We start from the raw sequence: 12,531 nt of genomic DNA, 5'->3' as shown, positions 1-12,531 counted from the left end.
TCTACTAAAGATAATCAGAGTAAGACTAAATTGTGTGCTGAATAAGTTTAGTCTCATTAAACTTGGCATGATTATTGACAACAGTATAGCAAGAAAAGGGATGAAACATGGGCTGTTTTTAAGTTTATTTTGATGGAACTTTTGATAAGAAATCTCAGATTAGACTTTTAAAAGCCTTTCAAGGGTCAGAAGTCAAAGGAGGGCGAACATCAGACTTTGGCTGCAGTATCTAAAAATCTGCATGAATTTCTCTCTTCTTGAGGTCTCCAATATATCTGGAGGTTCCTGGCCTGTCAAGAGGTAAAAATGTTTATTCACTCACTGTGAGCTTGGGAATCCTTGAAGCTAGGCATCCTGTGCATAGTCTCAAATATCACATTCAAGTCAAACCATTTATAATATAACCAATGTTTGTAATTCTATCCTGTTACAAAGAGAATAGATTTTTATTGAATTAATGCAAATAACTATGTTGCCATAAAATAAAAATATCAATAAGAGCTCTCTGAAGACTGCAGCCACAGGTAGGAAGAAAAAATAAATATTTCCATTTTTATTTATAAAAGTATACTTTACCAAATTGCTGTATGCTATAGATAGCTTTTTAAAAGTTTTCTCAAATCTGGAAAACAAAAAATTTAAAAAAAACAGCAAAATGTTAAGCAAAAAGTCACTCGAAAATATTGCCATCAGTTTGTTTAGTCCCATTCATTAAACTTATTCTACTTGATCTGGGTTAGATGTTTTAAGAAGCCATCGTTTCTTCATTAGAGTCCTGGAAATTCTTTCCCAGTCCAGTGGTATAATCTTAAACTCATAAGAAATCTAAATTCCAGCATACTTGCTAGAGTCCTTTTCATGAACCTCCTTGAAGAGGAAGTATTTTTCTTTATTCATTTTAATTTATTCTCTACAATACTTCATTAGGGAGTTCAATGATTTGCACTCAGAAGTTAAATAGCCAAGAGGCAAGCAAGTATAATAAACTTCAGAATTGGACTGAGGTTGTTGCACTGAAGGCCATGTAGTCTTTTGCTTCAGGGAAATAACAACAAAAATAACCAAAATGAACACATAGCTCCCTAGGCTTCTGAATCTCAATAGAGAATAACATCAACATTTAATGAAATTGTAGATATTAACACATCATGGGAAAAAAGATACTGTGCAAAATATTATAATTAACACTTGGCACTTCTTATGTCTAGATTTTTATTATAAACAATAAAATATATGTAATATCTTAACTACAGACCTTTCATGTTGAAAGGGCATCTAACATAACTTGTTTTAACATTATGAAGGGGAAAAGTTTAGAAATTTCAAAGTGGAAACAATCCAACACTAACAAACTATAGTGATCAAAAGTATTAACTTTTAAAGAAAAACAAGGACAATTCATAAAAGTAGAACTACCATTTGATCCAGCAATCTTACTGGTTATCTACCCAGAGGAAAAGAAGTCATTACACAAAAAAGATACTTGCACATGCACGTTTATAACAGCACAATTAGCAATTGCAAAAATGTGGAACCAGCCTAAATGCCCGTGAATCAATGAGTGAATAAACTGTGGTATATATTTATGTGTGTGTGTGTGTGTGTGTGTGTGTATGTATATGTATATATATATGCATATGTATATATATATATATGCATAAATACATATATGTGATGGAATACTATTCAGCCATAAAAAGGAATGAATTAATGGCATTCATAATAACCTGGATGGGATTGGAGACTATTATTCTAAGTGAAGTATCTCAGGAATGGAAAACCAAACATTGCATGTTCTCACTCTTAAGTGGGAGCTAAGCTATGCAGATGCAAAGGCATAAGAATGATACAGTGGACTTTGGGGACTCAAGGGAAAGAGTGGGAAAGGCATGAGGGGTAAAAGACTACAAATTGAGTTCAGTGTATACTGCTCGGGTGATGTGTGCACCAAAATCTCACAAATCACCACTAAAGAACTTACTCATGTAACCAAATACCTCATGTTCTCCAAAAACCTATGGAAATAAAAAATTTAAAAAATTACAGAAAGGGAATGTATTATGAGACAAGCCACGTTTATAGACCAAAGCATGCTCATAGCTAGGGATGAAACAAACCACAAACCAAGCCAGCAAAGTTGGGTTGATTCCTTGAAAAGAATGGTTACCTATTGTCCAGATTGAGTAGCCCAAAGACAGAGGAAACACTGAGCGTAAAACATTCCCTTTTTTTTAAACCTACCACTCACACCACATGCACTGATCACTCTCATCACTGCTTTGGTAAAGCATGTAGGATGCAGTTCAGTTTCAATTTGGAGCTGTTACCTCCCCAGGCAAAGCTGCCACACAGATGATCCAGGCTTGGTGTTTTTCCTGAGAGCCACCTGCCACACATTTTCATAAGGTGACCATGACTATGCACATCCAGGCTACTTCCTGACTAGGCCCTGTTCAGGAAGCATCCTGAGGTGTCCATTCCTCGTGGAGCCAAATAGTTCCCTTGGTTGACTCCTGAGTCCCCTTGGCAAGCCAAGCAGAATTCAAGCATTTCTACTGCTAGCCTTGTGTGGGAGCATGAGCGAATGTAAAGGGAGCAAGGCTCTTCAGTCCATAAACCACAGCCTACTTCGGGGTGGTGCTGGACCAGCCCTATTCTTGGGTACTGAATTTCTTTTTCTCATTTGTTGGGATTTTAAATTTTCTATTTATTTTCTTAAATGGCAGGTATCCTACTGCATCTTCAATAAAATAAAATATATACATATATATGTTGTACACTGGAGAAAACAAATAGGGGAACAGTTTGATAGTTTAGCCCCATTTTTTGCTTTTATTTAACCTTTAGAAGTAAAACACAATTATTAAAACAGAATGCTTGAGCAGTAATAAGCGTAGCCCTATGTATCAATATTATTGTACAAATTGGATGTGGGTGCTTAACCCAGAGCTGACCACCCTGATAATAATCCAGAAAAAAACCATTGTTACATCTGTTTGTAACAAGACATTTATTATTCTCAGCACCAGGACATCATAAAATGACTCCTTGATCTTCATTTACTTCACCAAGGGAAACGTGGCAGGCTACAGAAACTCAGCACAGCAGTTAGTGGGGCTGTGCCCTGGGTGCCCTGATGTCACCCACATTTCCCTTGCATGTCTCAGGTCCTAATAAGCAGTGCAGGACAATGTTGAGCCAACCTACTCACCCGTGCCCATTCCTTCCCAGAAACTTAAAGGTGATCCCTATAATAGCACATATGTCCTTTCCCAAATTGTGTCTTTGCTCCCCTAACCCCATTCTTGGCAGAAGAAAAAACAAAACATCTCTTGACTTGAATATTTGCTTATTTTAGAAACCGACACAATCACCATAAACTTAAAAAAAAAATAAATCAAAATGTTGTTTTCACTGGGTTGACACCTATCTGCTTCAAGAATTCTCTAAGCATGTTGTTGAAAACCAGTGTAACATCTTTAGGATCTTTCTCCCAACTGACCAGTCTTCCTGTGAATCATTTCAGCAGTTCCTTTGTGGCAATGTTTACAAAGCATCTTCTAAGTCCTCTAATTCTATGAGCTTTGCTATCAAAATAGTGAAGAATAGGAAAGGGGGAGGAAAAAACTAGCTGACAGCTGTTTGGAAATCAGCAACAATGTGAAAGAGAAATGTATCTCATGAAAGTTTGAAAGACATGGAATAAATGAGCTCCTTGGAAATTTGCCCTGGCGGAGTGAAGATTCCCACTTTATCTTCTTAGGTAAGATAAAGATCCACCTTATGTAATTACACAGCTTTGTTTAAGCATCCTGTAAAAGACTGAAAAATCAACTGTCTTCCTAACTCTACAGGCAAACTAGAAAAAGGATCTCCCTGCTTACTGGTCCCTCAGGATGTTTTCCTGAAAAGAAAACCAGCTTAGAGATACTGGATTTTCTTCTATGACAAAGTGTCCTCTTAAAGTCCAACCGAAACTTGTTTGCACACTTACACTTCTGAAAGCCTAGGTCCGACTATAGGGCTGATACCGGGAGAGAAGTGAAGTAGCTGGGTGGTGAGGAAGTGGTCTCTCCTTTCACATCTCTGTGCAGTCATGATATCAAGACCCCTTGTGGACATCTCTATTCCATTCCTCAGTCAGTGACACCACAGAGCTCTGTTTGATACCGGGAGACTTAATGCAGTAAAAGTGACAGAAAGTGCAACTGATAGTAGGATGAAAATTATAATCTTCAAGGATTATTGAGCCATGAGATCTGCAATGCTATCGTAGGGTTTCTGATCCTGATGTGGGTCTCTGTCCAGGATCCTTGAAGAAATTATGGCACCCACATCCAACCCTAACATAGCTTCCACTTATGAAACAAGGAGGTTGTAATCAACTCTTGGTATGTAATAAACTGGAAGTTCAAAAATGTAATTTAAAACAATCTAAAAGAATGTAGTGTTGGTCTCCATTGCACAGACTGCTAGGGGAATATATCAACTTGATTTGGGGAGGCTGTAGAGGTATATAGAGGAGTATATGGGTTAAACCTTAATGGGTCATCAGTTTCAGAGAAGAAGCAATTTTTTATTGTAGCTGATGGCAAATGCTTTTGGAAAAGAATGAAAGCAGTCGGTCCCTGTGGATGACAGACCTAGAGTGGCCATGGTTAAAAATCTCATGGAGTTTATTATAATAATAATGTAATTGACAAAGAAATTTGTTTATTTCTGTGGCATACAAAACTTGAAGATAATAACCAAGATTATGACCGATAACATATCAGATTTTGAAGAATTCAATATAATTTTGTAACACATATCAATAACATTCTGAAATACAACTTAAAGAAGGTTTAGCACCACTTAGTATTTGACAATACTCCCTATATAATTTAATATATCAAGTAAGTCTCATTAGTTTAATATATCTCTTTACAATGTGAGATACACATTCTTTGATCTTTCCAGGGGTCCAAATGAGAAATATCAAAATTAACTTGAGGGCAAAAAGAGTTAATTTAAAATATTATTTTGGGAAGTTTGTCAAAAACATCAAACAGTTTAAAACACTTTATCAGAGTACGATAACAGGTAACCAAAATGAAAATTAAAAGATTTCAAAAAATAAATGTAGAAATTTACATAATTGTCAACAAAAACATAGCTTTTTAATACTGAGAACATTTACTTTTCTCTTTTTTTAACTTTTATTTTAGGTTCAGGGGTACACATGTGGGTTACTTACGCATTTATATGGGTAAATTGTGTGTCACGGGGTTTGGTGTATAGATTATTTCATAACCCAGATAATAAGCATAGTACCCAGTAGGTAATTTTTAAATTTTCATCCTCCTTCCTCCCTCCACTCTAAAGTAGGCCCAGTGTCTGTTGTTCCATTTGTGTCCATATGTACTCAATGTTTAGCTCCCCTTATAAGTGAGAACATATGGTATTGGGTTTTCTAGGATAATGGCCTCCAGCTCCACTCATGTTGCTGGAAAAGAGATGATCTCATTCTTTTTATGGCTGCATAGTATTCCATGTTGTATATCTACCACATTTCTTCATCCACTGATGGGCATTTAGGTTGATTCCATGTCTTTGCTATTGTGAAAAGTGCTGCAATGAACATACACGTGCATGTGTCTTTATGGTAGAATGATTTGTATTTCTTTTGGTATATACTCAATAGTAGGATTGATGAGTTGAATGGCACTTCTGCTTTGAGTTCTTTGAGAAATGGCCACACTGCTTTCCACAATGGCTGAACTACCTTACATTCCCACCATCACTGTATAATCATTCCCTTTTCTCCACAACCTCACTAGCATCTCTTATTTTTTGAGTTTTTAATAATAGCCATTCTCATTGGTGTGAGATGGTATCTCATTGTGGTTTTGATTTGCATTTCTCTAATGATTAGTGATGTTGAGCATTTTGTCATATGCTTTCTGGCCACATGTATGCCCTCCTTTGAAAGTGTCCGTTCATGTACTTTGTGTACGTTTAAATGGGATTGTTTGTTTTTCACTTGTTGACTTTTTTAAGTTCACCAGATGCACTGTGCTGGGGTTCTGTGATAGTCCCTAATTGCTGTGCACCCTCCCAAGCCTGAGAGCAGCAGGAGGGAGGGTTGCGAGACAGCAAAAAGGTGGACTGCCTCTCTCTTTGGAAGCTGCATGCCGGAGAAGTGTAGAGCTGCTCCCAGCTGGAGAACTCAGGAGGACTAGGGTGGCCTCACTAGCATCCCAGGCTAGTGGGCCTTATCCTACAAGGTTCAGTGGTGGTGAGGTCTGCAGTCTATCACTGCTCAGCCCCATGGACTTGGCCCCTTTTCTGGGGAGCGTGCAAGAAAACTTGGCCTTCCCAATTGCTGGAGCTGCAGCCCCTGGTTTTGGGGTACCCAGGGAACAAATGCTACTGGAACTCCACACCTACCTAAGAAGCAGCTCTACCCAGACTCCACATGGCTCTCTGTTTTGGTCTGGAGACCCCAGCTGGGGTATCTCCTGAGCCCAGGGATTCAAAGGTTCGTGGCAGAAATATGCATCCCACGGGACTCTCACTCACTCACCATTTTCTTGTAGGGGGATTCCCCTGGGTCTGTGCCACTCCTGGGTGAATGGCTGATCTGTCTCACTCTTCTCCGTGATCCGAAGGTCACACTATGTCACTGATGAATCCTTATGTGTCCACCTGGATGTTCCGGTTGAAGAGCTAGTGTCTCACCACTCTTTCTGCTATTTGTGAGAGTGGCACACACTAGCTGCTTCTAGTCAACCATCTTGGCCCCACCTCACTCACTTTTCTCAAGTAATCAAAGACCTAGTAAAAGAGAGCATAAAGCATAAGAAATTACCTTGATAAACAAAAAATCTTGGTTTATTAGGCCAGTTATCTAAAAGGTAGAGAAAACATTTCACTATTTTCTATTAAGAGCAGGTCAATACTCAAAGAAAAGCTTGTTGTTTCAGCACAGGGGACAAATTTCAAGTTTTCCATTCCTGTACTTTTGATAATAATGCTCAAGTTTTCAGAATATTTATAAATAATTTCCTTTTAACTTTAGCCAACTTGGTCACACATAAAATTCTTTTCACAAGATTAATCTTCCACAAACTTTCTATAAATTTGTCATCCAGTTATCTTATTCAGTTTTTGTCTATATTTTTTCTCTTTTTCTTTTTGGAACAGTAAGACATTCTACTTTTAGACAAAAAATACTCTCTTTTTCCCTTAACAAAAACACAACCTCTTACTTATAACTTTCTTTATGTGTTTTCCTTCCCTCGCGTACAGATTTGTTTCCCTTCATTATTTCTAGTTTAAATTACTCTAATATTAATTTTAATTAACTCTTAGTAACCTTAATTTCTAGTGAAAATTAGTAAGCATTTTGAAGTGCATCATGTTAGTATTTTGCAGATGAACACCATCTCATAAAATAATTTTTATGCCTTTAATTAACAGGCCCAAATATGTTTAGCTTTTCCATAACATGTGAAACCAAGATGCCAAATTACGTATATTTTAAACTTCTGTTAAGCAATTGATATTTCAGTATTTTCCTTAGAAATGACTCAAATATTAAATCAGTAAAGTGTTACTTAATTTAATATAACATGATTTTAAGATTTCAAGTCACACTAAATTATTTTTGAAATTCTGACAACTTTATTATCAACCTTTTGTCAATGTATATTCACCTAATTCACTTGTTCTTAACAATTGTGCTTCAGTTCCTCCTTAAACACAACGATGAGTGGATTTATAGCTTTAAGACATTCATTATACATCTCAGTAATAGCAAGCTTGTTTCACCAGTAACTTTAGGTTTAAAAACTGTATCTGTACATTGTAATTAATGCTGACAATTCTGAAAATATTTGTTTTTATTTTGCCAACAAATTTTAAAACTAGCTTTGTCTGCCAAAGATTATTTCATCACATAAGCCAAAAGGCAATTGAGTTTCTGTTTTTCTGAGAGAATTCTTAGTTTAAACACTTATGTTTTCTCTGTAAGCCAATTAAGTAGAGCCGTTTATGAATTTTGGTAGAAAAAATTGTACATACGCACACACACACACACACACGTAGAAAAATACAGACAGAGGAAGAACTTACAACTTGCATTAAGAATTGTTATTTGCCTGGCTTGCAAGTAGTTTTACTCCCTCTTTCAGACTATCTGTCTTTTAATGATCTGTTCAATTGGCCCATAAACAAGTGTTAGTTAGGCCACCCAAAATTTGTACTTCCAAAGAGATGATTTTTAGGTGAAGGAATGTAGAAAATTTAAATCTCAAAGGTACAGAACTTAAACACCACTATTTGTTGAGATGAAAAAAAGCATATATAGGAAGCCTTCAGAATGAAATGGTCAAGGGTGAGTTTACACAGATAGATAGATTTAGGTCTCTTCCTTTTGCTTTGTGAAAGCATCTAGTGTTTTAGGTGTCAGAGAGGGAGATATCCTTACAAAGCAGAGATTATCATTACAGGTTTACATTTCTTACAAAGAGTTTCAAAATAAACAGGTAAATGCCAAAAACATATATTTTGGAGACGGATTAATTCACTAGTTGGTCTATTCAACTTAACTTGTTTCCTAATGAGATTAAATTCATGCACAAATAACCAAACCAAAAATTAAACCAAAAGAATACTCACCAGAAAGGATGTCCTTTACAAGAGCAGATCCCCCAAAATGTAAGAGTTCACTGAAAAGGTGGGAGCTCAAACCAAGAGAGGACTTATCTCGCAGCATAAAGACAACTTGTACAAGTGAAGATCACAATAGGCTCAGGTGAGTATCATACACAATTTCAAGTATCGCCAGATACTTGAAAGCCTTCCAAAGGCTTTCTTTGTTACTGTTTGGATAACAGTGCTGTAACTGTAAGTAACAAAGAAGGCTTGGAGCCTTTGCATCTTGCTTCTGACATTAGATTATGTCAACTTAAACAACAGAGATACTGACTCTCTAAAATAAAGAGTGGAGTGTATTCAGGAAATAGCAGTAAATTGCAATTTGAAATACACATGCTATGGTGGACCTTAGGCACCAAAGAAGCTGAGGGACTGTATTAGTTTGTTCTAGCACAAAGAACTACCTGAGACTTGGTAATTTATAAAGAAAAGAGGTTTAATTGACTCATGATTTCATAGGCTGTACAGGAAACATGATTGGAGGAGGCCTCAGGAAACTTACAATGATGGCAGAAGGCAAAAAGGAAGGAGGCACGTCTTACATGGCCGAAGCAGGGGGAAGAGGGCAAAGGGGAAATACCACACACTTTTCAACAAGCAGGTCTCATGAGAACTCACTATCACAAGAACAGCAAGGAGGAAATCCACCCCCATGATCCAATCGCCTCTCACCAAGCCCCTCCTCCAACATTGGGGATTACAATTCGACATGAGATTTGGGTGGGGACACAAATCTAAACCATATCAGGAAGGCAAAAATCTTAAAAGAGAAATTTTATGTAAGTTTTGTAATAAACCTCATGGGCCAGAGAAGCTTGTTACAAGAGTTGGCAAATACTCATTGATAATATTGGCTGTTGCTGGAGAGATGTCTTCATAGAATTATCATATCTAACATTTTCGTGGTTTTTGAGAGAACCATTGCAGCAGTTCTTATTATAGACATATGTACATGAAGGCCCCTCTTTCATGGCCTCCCAGCTTCATTTTTTTATGGTTTGATGTAAGTGACTCCATTTTGGTGCTCACAACTTCCACATTTCTCCCTTTTGGTTGAAATATTTTTCTGAAAGCATTTCACACTTAAAAGATATAGATTGGCCGGGCATGCTGGTTCATACCCGTAATCCCAGCACGTTAGGAGGCGGAGGTGGGTGGATCACCTGAGGTTGGGAGTTCGAGACCAGCCTGACAAACATGGAGAAACCCCATTTCTACCAAAAATACAAAATTAGCTGGGCGTGGTGGCACGTGCCTGTAATCCCAGCTACTCAGGAGGCTGAGGCAGGAGAATCACTGGAATCCAAGAGGCAGAGGTTGCAGTGAGCTGAGATCACGCCATTGCACTCCAGCTTGGGCAACAAGAACGAAACTCCATCTCAAAAAACAAAAACAAAAACAAACCAACAAAAAATGAAATAATTGTAAAAACCAACCATAGTTCTCAGTAATGATAGTTTCATTTCCGTCAGCTATTAGTAGAGTTAATTAACTCCTATCAACCTCACATTTTCCATTTAAAAAATACAGGAGAAAAAGTTTGATGTGGGTTTAATGAGAAAACTTATATAAAATAGATCTAACTACTATATTTATCACAAAACAGATGCACAAACTATGTTTTTTTCCTCTCACTTGTTCTTATTTTATATATCATTTTAATTGAGGAAATCATTGAGCATAATGTAACAAATATTTTCATAAGTTATTATAAAGAGGGTTTGAAGGACTTGTTAGAAAGTGTCTGGCAGTGGAAAAAACATCTGAATAGAAAAAGAAAATAGCATGTGAATGCTGAAATAGCGTATTAAATAGCTGCAACTCTAATATAATTTACATTTGGATTTTAGTGTAGACAGAATACTTAAATTTATTTCTGCAGTCTTTTCAGTTGTTAAACATTTTATTGAACTCTTCATGTGCCTTTCAGATGTATTGTGCTTCAAGTGTGCTTGTACCAGCTTTTTCTGTTTAGAAATGCTTGAGTGTCTCCATTGTCAAAACGATCAGAAGGCAGTAATTGTATTTCCAATGTGAGGACAAACAATACTAGATATCCTGCGATCCTACATTGTAAAAAATATTCCCATCAAATGCCCCAATGGATAGCCACGTAAGTGATCATCTGTAATTATTTAGTCAAGAAATGAATATTTTACATGTAAATACTTTGAATGGCTTAATACAAACTAAATTTTTCAGAATGCAACCACTACGGAAATTGAAGAGAAAAAGTCTTTTTATTGTAGAAACTTCCCAGAGTCTTTCAATATTTACAAAAATTATGTTGCCAGTGGCAATACCTTAGTTATTTGAATCACCAGTAGAACACACTATAAAAACATGCATTGTCACATCTGTACCCTGTCACATCCAGGATAACGATAATATTGAGATATATAACTATTTAGCCCTTATTTTAAAACATCAGGTAACAAGCATCAATCAATTTCTATCAAATGTTTCAACTTGGGTATTACAGCATAAGCAGAAATATACTGTTACCAATATCCCAGCCAATTTCTTTTCCTAATGAAACAATAAAACTGAGAATATAGAGACCATTTAGTAAAGCTGATATATATATATGTTTGCATATGTGTGTGTGTGTGTGTGTGTGTGTATATACATATAAATGTAATTAATACAGTAGATGAGGTCAAAGAAGCAAGTGATACACAACTTTTAATTTGGATGGGATGTCCTTGAAGATTCCTGTATTAGTCCTTTCTCACATTCCTATATGAAAATACCTGAGACTGAGTAATTTATAAAAGAAAGAGGTTTAATTGACTCACAGTTCCCTATGACTGGGGAGGCCTCAGGAAACTTACAATCGTAGTGGAAGGTGAAAGGGAGGCAGGCACTTTCTTCACAAAATGGCAGGAAAAAGAAGGATGGGAGGAGGAACTTGCCGAACAGTTGTAAAACCATTAGATCTCGAGAGAACTCACTCACTGTCATGAGAACAGCTTGGGAGAAACCACCTCCATGATTCAATTACCTCCACCTGGTCTCTCCCTTGACATGTGGGGATTATGGGGTTTACAATTCACCATGAGATTTTGAGTGGGGACACAGCCAAACCATATCAACTCCTAAATCTTAATACACTTTATTACTAGCTGATATGATTTGGATCTGTGTCCCTTACCAAATCTCATGCCGAATTGTAATCCCCAGTGTTGGAGGTGGGGTCTTGTGGGAGGTGACTGGATCATGGGGGCAGATTTCCCCCTTTGATGCTGTATCATGATAGCATCCTCATGAGATATGGTTGGTGAAAGTGTGTGGCACCTTTTCTCTTCCTCTCAGTCCTGCTTCTGCCTCGCAAGATTCGTGCTTCCACTTTGCCTTCTGCCATGAGTAAAATCTCCCTTTAGCCTCCCCAGAAGCAGATGCTGCTATGCTTCCTGTTCAGCCTGCAGAACTGCGAGCCAATTAAACTTCTTTGCTTTATAAATTACCCCATCTCAAGTGTTTCTTTATAGCAGCAGTGTGAGAACAAGCTAATACACTAGCCTTCTTGAATACATCTTAGCAAGCTCTCGAGCAGCGTAACCACATAGATTAGAGAAGGCCAAAACTGACAGATTCCCATCTTGACCAAAGTTTAATCATTCTTCTCCAGTCCCTCTTCTCAGGCCCAGTTTAACAAAGACGCCTGCTAAGCCAGTTCACTGAGAATCACTTCGCCCTGGATATCTTATCACTTTGGCATGCCTTTAGCAATAATGCAGTTTAGCAAGAACCCCGCTCCCCGCCACCCCACCCCCCGCCACCCTTAATATCTAATTAGTTTCTATCCACTGACTCACTCCCTCAGCTCTT

The 12,531-nt window shown here is 37.3% G+C and overlaps 1 long non-coding RNA gene across 2 annotated transcripts in view; it reads left to right on the top strand.

The window, feature by feature from the left end:
* LOC105379623 (uncharacterized) overlaps positions 1-10,756 on the top strand; it is a 35,178-nt gene extending 24,422 nt beyond the window's left edge. For both annotated transcript variants that reach the window (XR_001742419.2, XR_001742418.2), the window contains exon 5: positions 10,631-10,756. This is a non-coding gene — a long non-coding RNA (uncharacterized LOC105379623). The remainder of the gene's footprint in view (positions 1-10,630) is intronic.
* The last annotated feature ends 1,775 nt before the right edge of the window (positions 10,757-12,531 follow it).

The sequence above is a fragment of the Homo sapiens genome, chromosome 5, assembly GCF_000001405.40.
Source record: "Homo sapiens chromosome 5, GRCh38.p14 Primary Assembly".
NCBI lineage: Eukaryota > Metazoa > Chordata > Mammalia > Primates > Hominidae > Homo > Homo sapiens.
Note: the sequence above shows the minus strand (reverse complement) of the source record. Positions and strands in the feature narration are given on the sequence as shown.